This window comes from Homo sapiens, chromosome 8, assembly GCF_000001405.40.
Source record: "Homo sapiens chromosome 8, GRCh38.p14 Primary Assembly".
Lineage (NCBI taxonomy): Eukaryota > Metazoa > Chordata > Mammalia > Primates > Hominidae > Homo > Homo sapiens.
The window spans coordinates 143,635,863-143,654,090 of record NC_000008.11 but is presented as its reverse complement, the minus strand read 5'-3'; the positions used below and the strand labels follow the sequence as shown (position 1 = coordinate 143,654,090).

Below are 18,228 nucleotides of genomic sequence, written 5' to 3'. Positions count from 1 at the left end.
GACATCTACTTAAAAGGAAGCAGGCCCTCACTAGACACCAAATGTTGACACCCTCATCTTGGACTTCCCAGCCTCCAGAACTGTAAAACATAAATTTCTGTTGTTTATAAGCCTCCCAGTTGATGGTATTTTGTTATGGCAGCCTGAATGAACTAAGACACTTACAACACAGCAATTAAAGTCCTAGGTACTTACCCAAGAGAAATAAAAACACATGTGCAAATACATACTTTTACACAAATGCTCATAGTTTTAAGAGCCGAGACTGGAAACCCATTAACACATGGATGAATAAACAAATGATGGCTTATCCACACAATGGAATACTATTCAGCAAGGAGAACTACTGAAACACAAAACAGCTTGGATGAGTCTAAAAACATGCCAAAGTGAGACATCAGACGCAAAAGAACACATAGTAAATGAATCCATTTGTATGAGGCTCTAAACCAAGCAACACTAATCTATGAGGATAGAAAGTGGTTATCTGGGGCTGGAGTGGGCTTAACTAGGAAAAGGCAAAAGGGAACTTCTTTGGGTGACAGAAACGTTTTTGGTTCTGGCGGTGGTGGTTACACAGGTGGTGGTGGTTACACAGGTGTATAGATTTTTCAAAACCTTGTACACTTAAATAGGCGTTTTACTATATGAAAATTGAATCTCAATAAAGTTGATTAAAATGGTCTGGTAAAATCTACATTTGAAACATCTCTAGTAATGCTGATTTTCCAGAAAATGTAGATCTCTTTTTTGAATTATTTGTCCTGAGACGTTCAGGGTTGGTAGTATTTAAGAACTCAAAATATGGCCTCATGAGAAAAAAATTATATCGTTACAAAACTGGACTTTGGGGTTCATGTCCAGATGAAATTCAGAGGTAAAGACTAACAGTTTGGCGAGGCGGCTGTCCACTGTCCATTTACCTCGCCTGCTTTCGAACAGTCCTAGCCAAAAAGCCATCTGTCATGGCTCCATGTTTCTGCAGATTCCTCTCCTGGACCCTATTTTCTTCTTCAGCTGCTCTCTACTGATCTCTGGCCCAGCTGAAATGTCACCTCTTCTGTAAGGCCTTCCCAGCTCTGTGCCACAGCAGGCACCCCCTCACCTGTGCTCCTTCACACCTGAGGGCACATACTTAACTCACCCTACTGTGATCTCCGTCTTCCCCACTACACGGTGGATGACTTCAGGGTAGTGGGTTGCTCATCTGTTTTCCCAACATTGAGGACTATTCCTTATAGATATCAATACATTTTGAAATGACACAATGAGCCAGAGAGCATGGAAAATGACAAGAGCTCAGTTCAACCTCAGAACTGCTACAACAGAAGAGTTACGTAGCGCATTGAGACTGTGCCTTTCGAGTGAGACAGAAAGATACAGACAAGTAAGTAAAGACCTTCTCTTGAGACCTGCCTCCTCCTGTCCCCACTGTTCCAGCTGAGCCAGGTGTCAATGCCCTCCAGATCAAGTAGACAGTTCTGCATGAGCTGTAAGGTGGCACACAGGAGGGCGTGGATGTGCACAGGATATTGCCTGCAACTTCTAAGTAGGAGCAGCAGACAGTAGCAGGGCTGAGAAGATACTTCTAACAGAATCGTAGATTATACTGATACAAAATGAACAAACAACAAAAAAAACAGCCAACAGCTGAAAATTTTTAGAATGGCAGTATAGAAAGGACAAAGCAAGAGAGATGCCAATTACACATAGATTTAGGGGTGTATTTTTTATTGCCCTGTGCTAGACAGTGGACACATGGAAATCAATCAGATATGATCACTGTCCTCAGGAACCCAACAGCATAGTGACAGAGATAGTCTATCACATCATTCTGACATATGCAAGTAAATATAGTAATAGCAGTAATCACTGAGCCACAGAAGTGTGGAGAGTGCTGCCAACTAAGCTTGAGGGAAACACCCATTGACATGATGCCTGAGGCTTGTCTTGAACCATGATTCAGAGTTAATTAGCTGAGAAGAGACCCTTCAACAAGAACAAAGGCGAGAGAGGTAGGAAGCCACGTGGAGCACAGGGAAGATGAAGCAGTCGGTGTTGCTGCAGCATTAACCGTGTGGCAGGAAGTCAGGCAGTGGGAGGCAGGGCTCCAGGACGCAGGAGGCCTTAGGGCACACGATGGGAGGCCTGGAGTTCCTCCTCAGGACAACAGGGAAATGGCTCGGGGTTCATACACGAGTTACCTTTCTTCAACTTAACACATCAAAATGTCCTAGGTAACATTCTCCTAAATCGTAAGATTAGATACACAGTTGTGCTGTAATAAGGGATTTAAGTCAAGGATGGACTCTGCTTAACTGGGGATGAAACTTCTTAAAAACCTTTTCTTGAGACCTGTCTTCTCCCTGCCCCTACTGTTCCAGCTCAGAGTCAGGTGTCAAGCCCTGTGACTCTCCTGAGGACAGTGCTCACAGCTGAGGAGAAGGGCTGAGCCGAGTAGGGCTGCACAGTGGCAGGTGGCACCCACTGCAAAAGCAGCCCCATCCATGACTCACAAAATTCTGACATGTCCAAATCTTAGAAACCACATGAATCCTAATTCCACGCATTTCCAAACATCACTCACTGGGCGGGAAAGTAATTATTTTATAAGTTACCTGTGTGTTCCCCCTTATCTACAGACCTCTCACCCAAATGTATGGGGGCCTTACTCAAGGAGAGTCCCTCTTGGTGAACCCTTTGATTATTTTTAACGTTTGTAGTTGAGTTAAAATCTCTCCCATACTGACTACATTCATAGAGCTTCTCTTCAGTATGAATTTTCTGGTGTTGAAGGAAGTTTGACCTCTGAATAAAGCCTTTCCCACAATAACTGCACACATAGGGCTTTTCTCCAGTGTGAATAATCTGGTGCAGAAGCAGCTTGGAGCTCTGGATGAAGGCTTTCCCACAGTCTTTACATTCGAAGGGCCTGTCCCCAGAGTGGATCTTCTGGTGCTCAGTGAGATGGGCTTTCTGGAGAAACGCTTTCCCACATTCCTTACATTCATACACTCTCTCTCCAGTGTGGATTTTCTGGTGTCGAATAAGGTATGAACTCAGAAAGAAAGCTTTCCCACACTCGTTACATTCATAGAGTTTCTCTCCAGTGTGAATTCTCTGATGCTGGGTGAAGTTTGACGTCTGGCTGAAGCGCTTCCCACACTCATTGCATACGTAAGGCCTCTCCCCAGTATGGATCCTCTGATGCTGAATGAGCTTTGAACTCCGAATAAAGGCTTTCCCACACTCATTGCATTCAAAGGGTCTCTCTCCGGTGTGAATTCTCTGGTGTTCAATAAGGTCTGAGCGATGACGGAATGCCTTCCCACATTCTTTGCATTCATACTGTTTCACTTCTGTGTGGATCTGATAATGGCGAATGAGGCTCGAGCTCCTTATGAAGGATTTCCCACATTCATTGCACTCATAGGGCCTTTCTCCCGTGTGAATCCTCTGATGGCGAATAAGTAAGGAGCTCTGACTGAAGCCTTTCCCACACTCTTTGCATTCAAAAGGTCTCTCTCTGGTGTGAACTCTCTGGTGCCTAATCAGGTCTGAACTGTGACAAAACGCCTTCCCACACTGCGCACATTTGAAGGGCTTTTCTCCTGAATGAACGCGCTGATGCTCAATGAGACCTGAATAGTGAATGAAGTCTTTCCCACACACATTACAGACGTAGAGTCTCTCTCCAGTGTGAATTCTCTGATGCTCCATAAGGTGTGAGCTCTGGCCAAAGCCTTTCCCACACTGATCGCACGTGTAAGGTTTCTCCCCAGCATGCGAAATCCGATGCCTAACTAGGTCCGAATTAAACGTGAAGGTTTTGCCACAGATATCGCAAGGATTGGCTTCCCCCTCTATGAGCTCTCTCTGAAGCAGAAGAAGGTCTGAGTTCAGAATATGGTTTCTTCCTGACTTGGTGCACACTTGAGCTGTCTCTCCTGTCTGGATCTTCCAATGGGTCACTGTCACCTGCTTGCAGCCCCTGTCCTGAGAGGGGGAACTCCCCAGGCTCTGACCTTCTGGATTTCCCAAGAGCTCCCCTAATCTGGGCTCGTGGACTTCCTCAGACTCGGGAGAGGGGAGCTCCATCACCGTGAGTCTGTCTGACGTCGTCCTATGTGAGTTTTCATCCTCAGAAATCCAGGCTTCAGTCACCTTCTTCTCACCAGTTCCTACATTAGAATCTGAAACAAAAGACAACAAAATCATCTTTCCCCTTACTTAACAGATGGGGATCTCCTGAATCAGGGCAGGATAAAATCCATATCCAAGAGGTGGAAAGTGTTTCCTCTGCCCCTCATCCTGACCCAACATGCTGCTACCCACAGCTCTGGTCTCACACCCAAGCCTGTCCCACATAAGATGGCTTCTTTGTGGCTCCACTTTTAACATCCAACACCAGGACAGACTGGTCTGTGGTGCACAACACTCCTCTGACCATTAGTGAATCCTGGATGAGTTGCAGAGGGGTGGGGATATGCTTGAACTCCATTAAAAAACCGAGACAGATACTTTAAACAAACGTATAAACACATCAGCCCTGCCACCTCTTCACTGTTCCTCATTCCTTCCTTCATGTCCTCTTCTCCCCTCCATACCTAGCTTAGAGCCCATGATCTGGGGCACTGTGTTCACTGTAAGTTGCATGAGAATCACCCTCCTGCACAGAATCGGGCTCCCCTGCCCTTTCCTCCCTCCATGATACTTGGATGGGAAAGCCCAACCTTTGGTTAAAACGAGGTTGTGTTTTGATTTGTGCCTGCACTCTTGCTGTTTTTTTGTTTGTTTTTGTTTTTTTTTTTTTTAGATGGAGTCTCGCTCTGTCACCCAGGCTGGAGTGCAGTGGTGCAATCTCGGCTCACTGCAAGTTCTGCCTCCTGGGTTCACACCATTCTCCTGCCTCAGCCTCCCAAGCAGCTGGGACTACAGGCGCCCGCCACCACGCCCGGCTAATTTTTTTGTATTTTTAGTAGAGACGGGGTTTTACCGTGTTAGCCAGGATGGTCTCGATCTCCTGACCTCGTGATCTGCCCGCCTCGGCCTCCCAAACTGCTGGGATTACAGACGTGAGCCACCACATCCAGCCAGCTGACTGAGCTCTTTAAATTCAGAGCTGCTTGCCTAATGGGGCCTGAGAGCTGCCAGCAACTCCTACCCTTCCCACTCCCCACAGGACCTTCCACTTCTCCTATCTTCTTACAAACTCAGCACTCCCTCCTCCCTCCCCACTGGTGACCTTGCTTCTTGTTTCAATGAGAAAACAGAAGAAATCAGGCAAGGACATCCACTGCCTCCCACGTCTCCTGCCAGCCTGTATCTCCACCCATCCTCTGCCAGGCTTGTTACCTGGGTTAAACTGCCCTTGTTCTGACTTAAAGGCAACACTTCCACTTGTGTGTGAGCTCCCTTTCCCTCTCACACATGCAGGGACAGCACCTGAGCACCCATCCCTCTCCTCCATCCTGAAGTCCTTGCCCTCCAAGCCCACCACTCCCCTCAGCATGAAGAAGTGCGCCAGTTCCCAGCGACCTGAAAAATGCACGTCATGGGCCCCATGTCCCACCAATTACTACCCCATGACTCTCCTCCTCCGCAGCCCCATTCAAAGAGCCCCCACCCCACGCTCGATTTCTCCATTTCCTCCTTCCCCTGAGCCTACTACAGTAGGGCTCTCACCCCAAACATCCACGTCACCATATCAGGGGTCAGCTATGGCCACACTTCCAACTCAACCTGCGGTGGCACTGACACAGCCCCGCTCCTTCAGAAGTCACTCTCCTTATGTGAATCTGGGACAGCCTTTCTCTGTTCCCTACCCGCCTCACTGATAGCTCCTCCCAGTGTCCCCTGACGCCTCAAAGCCCTGGCGTGTCTAGGGCTCAGCCCTCATCTCTGTCCATTACAGAGGGGAGTGCACTCATTATCAGACACCAACGCCATCTATGCTGAACACTCACATGCCTGCCTCCAACCTGGCCTTCTTTCCAGCCCCAACACCTGACCAGCTCCTCACCCAACACCTTCATTTGGATGCTCTCAGAAGTTTTTCAACCCTAATGCGTCCAGCCTCACTTCTGATTTTCCTCCTTCTATAGTTTTCTCCATTATCTCATTTGTTCAGGCCACAGACACTGCAATAACCCTTGAATCCTCTTCCCTTTGTTCACACTCCACATCTGTTCAAAACCATGCCCAGCGCCAGACGCCCACAGCCTACAGGGCTGCCATCTGCACCATCGCCTTTCACCATGAAGCGTGACCACCTCCCACCTGCTTACTTCTCCCCTTCTCCAGCTCTTTTCTACACAGCCAGCAGAATTACGCTTTAAAATCATAAATCAGATGTCACTTTTCTACTCAAAACTGACAAAGGTTTCCCATCCCCTACTCTGGCCCCACAAGGGCCACTGGGCCTGGACTCCTGCTGCTCACCCTGCCCTCCCCTTCCCTCTTCTTTGGTCACACTGGCCCCTGCAGTCCCTGCCCCCTCGGAGCCTTTGCACTTTCGTAGAAAGACTCCAAAGATATTTGCAGGGTTCACTCCTAGATGTCCTTCAGGTGTCTGTGTTGACGTCACCTGATCAGAGTCCCTCCTAGTCACACTATAAAACAGCAAGGCTGGCTGGGCATGGTGGCTCACGCCTGTAATCCCAGCACTTTGGGAGGCAGAGGCGGGCGGACCACGAGGTCAGGAGATCGAGACCATCCTGGCTAACACACTGAAACCCCATCTCTACCAAAAATACAAAAAAAATTAGCCGGGCGTGGCGGCAGGCGCCTGTAGTCCCAGCTACTTGGGAGGCTGAAGCAGGAGAATGGCCTGAACCCAGGAGGCGGAGCTTGCAGTGAGCCAAAATTGTGCCACTGCACTCCAGCCTGAGTGACAGAGCAAGACGCCGTCTCAAAAAACGAAACAAAACAAAAAAAAAAAAAACAGCAAGGCACCCCCACCCTCAGCATGCCCTCTCTCCTGCCTCTGCTTTCTCTGCACAGTTCTGACCACTTGACCAATCATAAGTCACCCAATCAAAGCAGCCATCGACTGCGAGATGTGACACAATTTTATGAACCATGAAGGAAAATAAAAGTACCAATTTAAATGAAAACACTCCATCAAGCCAGGCACAGTGGCTCACTCCTGTAATCCTAAGACTTTGGGAGGCAGAGGTGGGAGGGTCACTTGAGACCAGGAGTTCAACGTCTGCCTGGGCAAGGTAGAAAGATCCCATCTCTACAAAAAACATTTTTAAAAACAGCCAGGCAAGGTAGCACACCTGTGGTTCCAACTACATGGGAGACTGAGGCAGGAGAATCACTTGAGCCCAGGAAGTTGAGACTGCAGTGAGCCGTGCTTGTGCCACTGCATTCCAGCCTGGGTGACAGAGCAAAACCCTGTCTCAAACAACAACAAAAAACACTCCATCAATTCTAACAGGCAACTCAATTTCAGAGACATTAAAATATGGAGAAAGTGTATCTTAGAATCAATGAATTGTGATATATACATGCATGCACACACACACACACACACACACGCACACACCCCACAGGCAACAAACTATGTGTTTTGTTGTCTCCCCCACAAGTATGTGAGTGCTGTGTGGGCAGGAACTTTGTTCTGTTCTTTATCCTCAGCAACCCAAACAATTTCTGGCATAAAGTAATACATTTCATCAATATCTGCTGTATGAATGAATGTTCTAATCATGCATACATAATACACTCAATACAAGGTAATAAGCCAGGTACAGTGGCTCATGCCTATAATCCCAGCATTTCCAGTGGCCAAAGCAGGAGGACTACTTGAGGCCAGGAGTCCAAGACCAGCCTGGGCAACATAGCAAGACTCCATCTCTAAAAAACAATTTTTTATTTAGCTGGGTGTGATGTTGCATACCTGTGGTCCCAGCTATTTGGGAGGCTAAGTCAGGAGGATCACTTGAGCCCAGAGGTTTGAGGCTGTAGTAAGCCATGACTATGCCATGGAACTCCAACCTAGGTGACAGAGTGAGACCCTGTCTCTAATTAAAAAAAAAGCTCCAACACTTCTAGTATTAAACACTGAAATAAATGTGAGTTATACATACCTTACCTTAAAGAAAGATTAACAGTGCTTGCTACAGCTCTTTTAGAATGTCTAGCAGGTTTCTCAGTTTTTACTGGAAAATCTCCCATAAAAAAAAAAATTAAGAAAAACAAGATAATTATTTACCCACTTATTTTAATGCACGGTTCTGGGTAGCTGGAGCCTATCCTGGCAGCTCAGGGTGCGAGGTGAGAACCAGCCCCGGATAGGACAGGGTCCCACCACAGGGCAACTCACACACCCAAACTCGCTCATGCTGGGACCAAGGAGACACCCCAATTCACCTAATGGACACATCTTTGGGACGTGGAGGAAAGCAGGCGGCCGTGGGGAGAATGTGCACACTCCACACATGGTGCTCCCAGCCAGGAATCACTTTTTCCCTCATAGATGTTATAACGAAACAATGATATCTGAGGCTCTGCCATGGAAAGGGGGGAAGCCAGAATCCACTCTCTGAAAGCAGAGACCAAAGGAACAGTGACTGCTTTGAGAGAAAGTTTCTTTCTTGGCGCCTGCACTTTACCAGCCTCAAGTCTGAGGATTTGTCTTTTTTTTTTTTTTGAGATGGAGTCTCGATCTGTTGCCCAGGCTGGAGTGCAGTGGCGCCATCTCAGCTCACTGCAGGCTCTGCCTCCTGGGTTCACGCCATTCTCCTGCCGAGCAACTGGGACTACAGGCGCCCGCCACCATGCCTGGCCAATTTTTTTGTATTTTTAGGAGAGACGGGGTTTCACCGTTAGCCAGGATGGTCTCGATCTCCTGACCTTGTGATCCGCCCGCCTTGGCCTCCCAAAGTGCTGGGATTACAGGCATGAGCCACCACGCTCGGCCGACCATTTGTATTTTCTCTCTTTTTTTTTTTTTGAGATGGAGTTTTGCTCTTATTGCCCAGGCTGGAGTGCAATGGCACGATCTCGGCTCATCAAAATCTCCAGCTCCCGGGTTCCAGCGATTCTCCTGCCTCAGCCTCCCAAGTAGCTGGGATTATAGGCTTGCGCCATCACACCCAGCTAATTTTGTATTTTTAGTAGAGATGGGGTTTCTCCGTGTTGGTTAGGCTGGTCTCGAACTCCCAAACTCAGGTGATCAGCCCACCTTGGCCTCCCAAAGTGCTGGGATTACAGGCTTGAGCAACTGCGCCCGGGCTTTTTTTTTTTTTTTTTAAAGATAGTCTTGCTCTCTCGCACAGGCTGATTGCATGGTGGCGTGATCTCAGCTCACTGCAACCTCCGCCTCCTGGGTTCAAGCAATTCTTGTGTATTTTTAGTAGAGATGGGGCTTCTCCATATTGGCCAGGCTGGTCTCAAACTCCTGGCCTCAAGCAGTCCAGCCACCTTGGCCTCCCAAAGTGCTGGGGTTACAGGAGTGAGCCACCACACCCAGCCATGTATTTGCTTAATTTCCATATATATTCTGCTTATGCACTGAGGACCCATTAATGTGGCTCTCAGGATGAGAAGGCTGACTGTCTCGCCTCAAGAACCTTCTCTTTGGGGTTCTTGCTGGGCAGTGGGAGCCGGGCCACTGCGAAGATCAGTAATGTTGCCTTCCCATCCACTACTACTGTCTTCAATACCTCAAGGCCACTGCCAATATAATGAGGGAGGGGGGATCAGCCCAGCCCAGAAGCCAGTAAATAAAACTGGAGGTTCTGCTCGTTTAAAAACCAGAGCTGCACCAGGTACAGCGGCTCATGCCTGTAATCCCAACACTTTGGGAGGCTAAGGTGGGTGGATCACTTGAGGTCAGGAGTTCGAGACCAGCCTGGCTATGGTGAAACCTCATCTCTACTAAAAATACAAAAATTATCCAGGTGTGGTGGCATGCACCTGTAATCCCAGCTACTCGGGAGGCTGAGACAGGAGAATCACTTGAACCTGGGAGGCAGAGGTTGCAGTAAGCAGAGATCACAACACCGTACTCCAGCTTGGGTGACAAAGTGAGACTCCATCTCAAAAAATAAAAAACAAAAACCAAAACCAGAGCTGTGACGTGGGATGCACTGGCAGCAAGCAGCCCCAACAGTGAGGATATTTTCAAGGGAATTAGGTTGCTGGAGAAACTGCAAGCCTACCCTGCAGAAGTCTGTAGCTAGAGTGTTCTTAGCAACATTCTAACACCCTAAATATCTAGCAACAGAAGACTCACACAAACAATAATGCACAGAAAAAAAACTGCCACACATAAAAGCACAGGTGGACCTCACAACAGACGAAGTGCTGAGCAAAAGCAGCCAGGCACAAAAGAGCTCATATTGTACGACTCCATTTACATAAAGCTAGAAAACAGAGAGCCAATCCCTGGTGGAAGGATGTAAGCTGCAATGGTGTTCAGGAGACACTGTCACTGGCAGGGGCACATGGTGGTGCCCTGAGTCACACAGGTGCTCACTTTGGAAAAGCTGACTGGACCCGGAATTATGCGACCTCACGCAGGCACTGGGATGCTCTATCCAACCCCGCTGTGGAGGGCAATGCCCCAGCCTGCAGTCTGGGAATCCTCACTCTGGGAACTGCTTCCAAGAAGGGGACTCCACCCGCCCAGTGCCAAGCCCTCTCCCAGTTATCCACTGCTCCAAAAACAATTTACACAAACTCAGCAGCTTAAAGCAGCATGCATTTGTTACCCTACAGTTCTGCAGGTCACACATCCAGGCCAGGCCAGCTGGGATCTCCACGCAGGGTCACGCAAAGCTGCAACTGTATGTCATCGGGCTGAGCTCTCATCTGGAGGCCCTGGGGAAAACTGGTTTCCAAACTCATTCAGATTTCGTGGCAGAATCCAGTTCCCTGCAACTGTAGGACTAAGAACCCTGTGTGCTTACTGGCTGTGAGCAGGAGCCGCCCCTAGGGGCCACCTGAATCTCAAGGCAGGCACAGCACATCACATTTTTCTCACGCATCTAATCTCAGCCTCTGTTCTCCAACCAGATGGAGGAACCTCTGCTTCCCAGGGTCTGTGTGATTAGGTCAGGCTCTCCCAGACGACCTCCCTTCTCACCTCACTGACCTGGGACCTCCCGACATCTGCAAGTCTCTTCATGACAGTACCAGATGAGTGTCTGAATGAGTAACTGGAAGAAGGGGTGTGTACATTAGGGGCCAGGAATCTAAGAGACCACCTCAGAACTCTGCCCTCCACACCCATGCCAGGTGCCCGGCAGGTAACAGGAATCTAAAACTACTGTCACTGTTTGGGGCACCATGAACCGCACCCATATAAGAAGCTGAATTATCAATGTGTGTTTCCTACATCCACCACCAACCGGCTGTTCCCCATCTCTCCCTTTCCTCCAGCCTCCCCCTTCCCTGGATATAACAATATTGAGATTAGGCTAATTAGTAACCTTACCATGGCCTCTCACGTGAAAGGAGGAATCCCACATCTCTCACTTTAAACCAAAAGCTAGAAATGATTAAGCTTTGTGAGGAAGGCATGTCTAAAACTCAGTCAGAAAGCCGGGCCTCTTGCATCAAACGGCTGAGCGGCAATGCAAAGGAAAAGCCCCAGAAGGAAATTAAACGAGCTGCTCCAGTGAACACACAAATGACAGGATAGCAAGACAGCCTTATTGCTGATGTGGAAGAAGTCTGAGTGGTCTGGAGAGATTAAAACAACAACTTTGCCCGACAGCTGGTGTGACTGGCAACCAAAGCTGAATCCACAGCAAGGTCCTAACCGTCCTCAATTCTATGAAGGCCGAGACGGGTGAGGGAAGCTGCGGAAGAAAAGCAGAAAACCAGCAGAGGTTGGTTCATGAGGTTTAAGGAAAGAAGTCACTTCCACACATAGAAGTGCAAGGTGAAGCTGCAAGCTTTACGGGAGAAACTGAAGCAAGTTCTCCAGATCTAGCTAAGATGGTTGACTAAGGTGGCTACTCTAAAAAGATTTTCAGTGTGGATAAAACCGCTTTCTATTGGAAGAAGATGGCATCTAGGACTTTCGCAGCTAGAGAGAAGTCAATGCCTGGCTTCAAAGATTGAAAAGGACAGGCTGACTCTCGTTAGGGGCGAATGCAGCTGGTGACGTGAAGCCAATGGTCATTTCCCATTCCAAAAATTCTAGGACCCTTAAGAATGATGCTAAATCCACTCTGCCTGTGTTGGAAATGGAATAACAAAGCCTGGATGACAGTGCATCTGTTTACAGCATGGTTTATGGAGTATTTTAAGCTCACTAATGAGACCTACTGCTCAGAAAAAAAGATTCCTTTCAAAACACTACTCACGGCCGGGCGCGGTGGCTCACGCCTGTAATCCCAGCACTTTGGGAGGCCGAGGCGGGTGGATCACGAGGTCAGGAGATCGAGACCATCCCGGCTAAAACGGTGAAACCCCGTCTCTACTAAAAATACAAAAAAATAGCCGGGCGTAGTGGCGGGCGCCTGTAGTCCCAGCTACTTGGGAGGCTGAGGCAGGAGAATGGCGTGAACCCGGGAGGCGGAGCTTGCAGTGAGCCGAGATCCCGCCACTGCACTCCAGCCTGGGCGACAGAGCAAGACTCCGTCTCAAAAAAAAAAAAAAAGAAAAAAAAAAAAAAAAAAAAAAAAACACTACTCACTGACAATGCTCCTGGTCACCCAAGAGCTCTGATGGAGATGAACAGGGAGACTGATGTTCTTCTTTTGCCAACACAACGTGCATTCTGCAGCCCCTGGCTGGGAGTCACTCCAACTTTCAAGTCTTATTAAGAAATATGTTTCACAAGGCTGTAGGTGCCATAATGATTCCTCTGATGGATCTGGGCAAAGTCAGCCGAAAACCTTCTGGAAAGGAGTCATCATTATAGATGCCACGAAGAACATTCATGATTTATGGGAGGAGGTCAAAACATCAACATTTGGTATTTTGGAAAAACCTGATTCCAGCCCTCATGAATCTTTGAGGGGTTTGAGACTTCAGTGGAGGAAGCAACTATAGATGTGGTGAAAATAGCAAGAGAGCTAGATTTAGAAGTGTAGCCTAAAGATGTCACTGAATTGCTTCAATCTCGTGATCAAACTTGAATGGATGAGGTGCTGCTGCTTTTTTTTTTTTTTTTTTTTTTTTTTTAAAGACAGAGTTTCACTCTCGTTCCCCAGGCAGAGTGGAGTGGTGCAATCTCGGCTCACTGCAACCTCCACCTCCCGGGTTCAAGCAATTCTCCTGCCTCAGCCTCCTGAGTAGCTGGGATTACAGGAGTGCGCCACCACGCCCAGCTAATTTTTGTATTTTTAGTAGAGACGGGATTTGGCTATGTTGGCCAGGCTGGTCTCAAACTCCTGACCTCAGGTGATCCACCTGCCTCAGCCTCCCAAAGTGCTGGGATTACAGGCACGAGCCACCATGCCCGGCTGAGGTGTTGCTTCTTAGAGATGAGGAAAACAAGTACGCTTCTTGACATGGAATCTGCTCCTGGTGAAGATGCCGTGAACACTGTTGAAATGACAACAAAGGATTTTGAAGATTCCATAAACTTAGTTGATAAAACACAGGCAGGGTTTGAGAGGCTTGACTCTAATTTTGAAAGAAGTTCTACTTGGGTAAAATACTAGCGAACAGCTTTGCATGCTACAGAGAAATCTTTTGTGAAAGCAAGATTCCACTGATGTGACAAACTTCATCGTCCCATTTTAAGAAACTGCCAGTCACACCAACCTTCAGCAACCATCACCCTGATCAGTCAGCAGCCATCAAGAAAGGCAAGACCCTCCATCAGCAAAATGATTACAACTTAAGGCTCAGATGATCATCTTTTAGCAATAAAGTATCTTTAAATTATTTACATTTTTAGACATAATGCTATTGCATACTGAATAGTAACCACAGCATACCTAAACGTAACTTTTATATACACTGGGAAGCTAAGAAGTTTCTGTGACTTGCTTTGTTTTGCTATTCACTTTATTGCAGTGGTCTGGACCCACACTGGCACATCCCCATGTGTGGGATGAAAGGTCCACTGGACACTTGGGTAGCCAATGTGGTTCCCTAGCATTCCTGTTTCCTTCTTCCTTTAAGTGTTAGAAACCCCATCAAATTACTAATGACTGCCCCATAAATGACATTTCCTAGTGTCCCCTTAAGTTAGGTGAGTTTGTGACCAAGATGAGGCGAGAAGGGAAGTGATGTGTGCGTGCTGTCCACTCTCTCCCCTCCCCACAGTGCTGATGAGGCAGGGCAGCCAGAGTCCCTGGAGGCCAACCCTACCTTTAAGAGAGAATAAGACAACTCAAGTTTCTTATTTGAAACACCGTATTTGAATCTGTTACAGCAACTTTAACCTACGTCTTAAATAATGCTAATATACAACTCAAAATATTCAGATTCAATTCTCCCCATGATGATAAATTCAAACTGGGCCAGGTGCGGCGGCTCACACCTGTAATCACAGCACTTTGGGAGGCTGAGGCAGGTAGACTGCTTGAGCTCAGGACTTAGAGACCAGCCTGGTCAACATGGTGAAACACAGTCTGTATTTTAAAAAGACAGGCCAGATGCAGTGGCTCACGCCTGTAATCCCAACACTCTGGGAGGCCTAGGCAGGCACATCACCTGAGGTCAGGAGTTCGAGACCAGCCTGACCAACATGGAGAAACCCCCGTCTCTACTAAAAATACAAAATTAGCTGGGCATGGTGGCACATGCTTGTAATCCCAGCTACTTGGGAGGCGGAGACGGGAGAATGACTGGAACCCAGGAGGCGGAGGTGGAGGCTGCAGTGAGCTGAGATCACGCCATTGCACTCCAGCCTGGGCAACAAGAGCGAAACTCCATCTCAAAAATAAATAAATAAAAATAAAAATAAATTAAAAAGGGGGTGGGCCGGACATGGTGGCTCATGCCTGTAATCCCAGCACTTTGGGAGGCCGAGGCAGGCAGATCACCTGAGGTCAGGAGTTCGAGACCAGCCTGGCCAACATGGTAAAACCCCATCTCTACTAAAAATACAAAATTAGCCAGGTGTGGTGGCACACGCCTGTAATCCCAGCTTCTCGAGAGGCTGAGGCAGGAGAATCTCTTGAACCTGGGCGGCAGAGGGTGGAATGAGCTGAGATCGCGCCATTGCACTCCAGCCTGGGCAACAAGAGCAAACCTCTATCTCAAAAAAAAGAAGTGGGAGAACGGTGGGGTGGAGATGTTGGTTTCTTGTTTTGGAACTCAGTTGATACCTTCTGATTTTAAATTTTAAAATGGCTGTTATACTACCTGGAAACAAGCTGTTTATTTTTTTTTATTTGATATATATATATATTTTTTGAGACAGAGTCTCACTCTGTCGCCCAGGCTGGAGTGCAGTGACACAATTTCGGCTCACTGCAATCTCCACCTCCCTGCAATCTCTGTCTCGTGGGTTCAAGCGATTCTCCTGCCTCAGCCTCCCAAGTAGCTGGGATTATGGGCGCCTGCCACCACGCCCGGCTAATTTTTTTGCATTTTTAGTACAGATGGGGTTTCACTTTGTTACCCAGGCTGGTCTCAAACTCCTGACCTCAGGTGATCCACCCACCTCGGCCTCCCAAAGTGCTGGGATTGGATTACAAGTGTGAGCCACCACGGCCGGCCAGAAACAGGGTGTTTCTGTTTACAAGAACATATCTTAAAACCATATGTGTGCCTCTTAATAATTTTCATAATTTTTTTAACTTTTGAGAAAGTTTTTTTTTTTTTTTTAAGACGGAATCTCACTCTGTCGCCCAGGCTGGAGTGCAATGGCATGGTCTCCACTCACTGCAACCTCCACCTCCCAGGTTCAAGTGATTCTCCTGCCTCAGCCTCCTGACTAGCTGGGATTACAGGGGCGTGCCACCACACCTGGCTAACTTTTGTACTTTTAGTAGAGATGGGGTTTCACCATGTTGGTCAGGCTGGTCTCGAACTCTTGACCTCATGATCTGCCCGCCTCTAGAGAAAGTTTTTAAAATTGCAAATATCTTGCTTTGAAGAAACAGTTATCTCAAAAAGGAAATAGCTATCTTCAGTTTTTGCTTAACTTTTTCTTGTATGAATTTAAGTAAAATTAAATCAATACATTTTCATTTAAAGAAACTGACATGAAATGCAAAAAAAAGGAAGCCACCTGACTTGTGGCTCCACACAACAAACTGACTAGCATGGACCCATCTCCTGTTGTAACACAGAATTTGCTGGATAAAACATCACCTGAGGCCAGGCGCGGTGGCTCACGCCTGTAATCCCAGCAGTTTGGGAAGCCGAGGTGGGCAGATCACAAGGTCAGGAGTTCAAGACCAGCCTGACCAATATGGTGAAACCTCGTCTCTACTAAAAATACAAAAATTAGCCGGACGTGGTGCCGTGTGCCTGTAGTCCCAGCAACTCAGGAGGCTAAGGCAGAAGAATCACTTGAATCCGGGAGGCAGGGGGTGCAGTGAGCCGAGATCATGCCACTGCACTCCAGCCTGGGCGACAGAGCAAGACTCCGTCTCAAAAATAAATAAATAAATAAATAAATAAATATCACTTGAAATTGTCTCAACAGCAGATGTTGTGTATCATCAGCAGCCACAGCAGCTCTGGGGTGTCTAGGGGTGTCCCATCTGGCATTAGAAGCCCCCAGCTCTTGCACCCACACTGGTAAGGGGAAATTCCAGCCTCAAGCTCCCAGCCAGAGTCACTGTGTGTTGCTTACAGCCTGAAGAAATTAACAGGATACACCAAGCTTCACCCTCAGGAAACAGGAAAAGCAGAACCAGAGGGCAACCGAGTGAGACGTGGACTAGAGCTCCACTAACATCTGGACCTCCTTGCCCCGCGCCACACCAAGGGGCCTACTGGGCGCCACAGGCTAGGCAGGGAGCGCTTCTGTTCCTAGTGCTCCCCACGATGCCCCGGAAGTTCAGGGAGGTAAGAAGCGTAAGGTCAGAGAACTGGAGCCAGCTGTCAACTGCCCCCGCCCCACCCAGGCCATTTGGCTTCTGCTACCGGCATGCTGCTCAGGGCTCTGCCCAAGGACAACGACGAGCCCCCTGTGTCCTCTCCTGGGTCATCTTCCATGACCCTGAGGCAGCGAAGACAAGCTCGGCAGCTCCCTGAGCTGCTTCACACCAACTACCTATGAGTCTGAGGCCAGCATCCAGGCGCTGCCCAGACCCTGAGAGTCCCTGGACCATGACGTAGCCTGTGTGTGAAGGGAGCAAGACAGCCTTGACAGAAGCACAGAGAACGCCACTGGGATTCTTAAAGACGCGAAGGGAAAAGGGTACCTTCAAGAAAAAGCAGGACAGCGTAGCCACACCACCTCTCCCCATCTGGGAATTCTCCAGGTCCAAGTCTTGTACTTAATTCTAATTCTGCTCATCATGTTTCCCTCCCCACCCCTATCCCCAACAGCACAGAAGATGCTGGCGCTGCATCTCCTCCAGCACCGAGAGGCCTCGAGGCCCCAGGGAGCGGAGGCAGGGTTCAGGCACAGCCGCGGGAACGCCCACACCCAGTCCTGCCACACCGTAAAACATGTCTGCGGCATCAACCTCACGCAGGCCTGGCGGACCTGAAGACTGCGACACGGACACTCAAGCCCGCGGCTCTCCGGCCTGGGCTCAGGGCGGGGGGAAGGAGAGGGAACCAGGGGTACCCACACGGCGCTCCTCAGGGACAAGACCCCAGGCTCGGGCCCGAGGCGGGCTCGCTGGAGAGACGCCGCAGCCTCGCGGGGGCGGCCGTGGCTGCGTCCGGGAGACTGACTAGCCAAGGCCCCGCTCCTGGACGCCCTAGCGGGGCGGGCAGCGGCCTGCGGACCCCGCCCGGCCCTCTCGGCGGACTGTGCCCTGGCAAGGCGGCCGGGCTCCGGAGCCAGCCGGGGCTGCGGCTAAGGCGTTGCCCGCCCCCGTCCGGAACGCGCCACTCACCCGGCGCGGGCGGGGAGAGGACGGCGCGAGCCCGACCCTGCAGCCGCTGACTGGACCCCGCCGGCGCGGGCCCCACAGATCAGCCGACAAAGCCTGCACCGCCGCCAGCCCGCCGCGACCGGAAGTCGCGAGAGGCCCCGCCTGGGAAACTTCCTGCGCCGTTCTAGGAGCGCCAGGGATCGGCTCCCCTCTCAGTGGTGCGGACTTCCGGGCCCGGGGACTAAGACCCCCGGAGGGGCCAGGGGTGTCCGGCAGGAGCGGCGTTGCTACGCGGTTGGGAGGG

At 49.2% G+C, this 18,228-nt stretch overlaps 1 protein-coding gene and 1 non-coding gene across 9 annotated transcripts; one reads left to right on the top strand and one right to left on the bottom strand.

Moving 5' to 3' along the window:
* Nucleotides 1-360: 360 nt before the first annotated feature.
* On the bottom strand, nt 361-18,072 carry ZNF623 (zinc finger protein 623). Of its 8 annotated transcripts, none has more exons than NM_001261843.2 (2): nt 17,946-18,072; nt 361-4,193 (listed from the first exon to the last, which is right to left on the bottom strand). In NM_001261843.2, the coding sequence occupies exon 2, from the start codon at nt 4,096-4,098 to the stop codon at nt 2,608-2,610; it is 1,491 nt and encodes a 496-aa protein (NP_001248772.1). In that variant the 5' UTR covers nt 4,099-4,193; nt 17,946-18,072; the 3' UTR covers nt 361-2,607. The 8 variants fall into 8 exon arrangements, with proteins under 8 accessions (NP_001248772.1, NP_001075949.1, XP_047278457.1 ...); NM_001082480.2 differs by lacking the exon at nt 17,946-18,072 and adding an exon at nt 17,676-17,929; XM_047422501.1 differs by lacking the exon at nt 17,946-18,072 and adding an exon at nt 17,301-17,321.
* On the top strand, nt 8,122-8,181 carry LOC124902077 (U7 small nuclear RNA). Its single transcript, XR_007061197.1, has one exon. It is a non-coding gene; the product is annotated as a U7 small nuclear RNA (small nuclear RNA).
* Nucleotides 18,073-18,228: the final 156 nt, after the last annotated feature.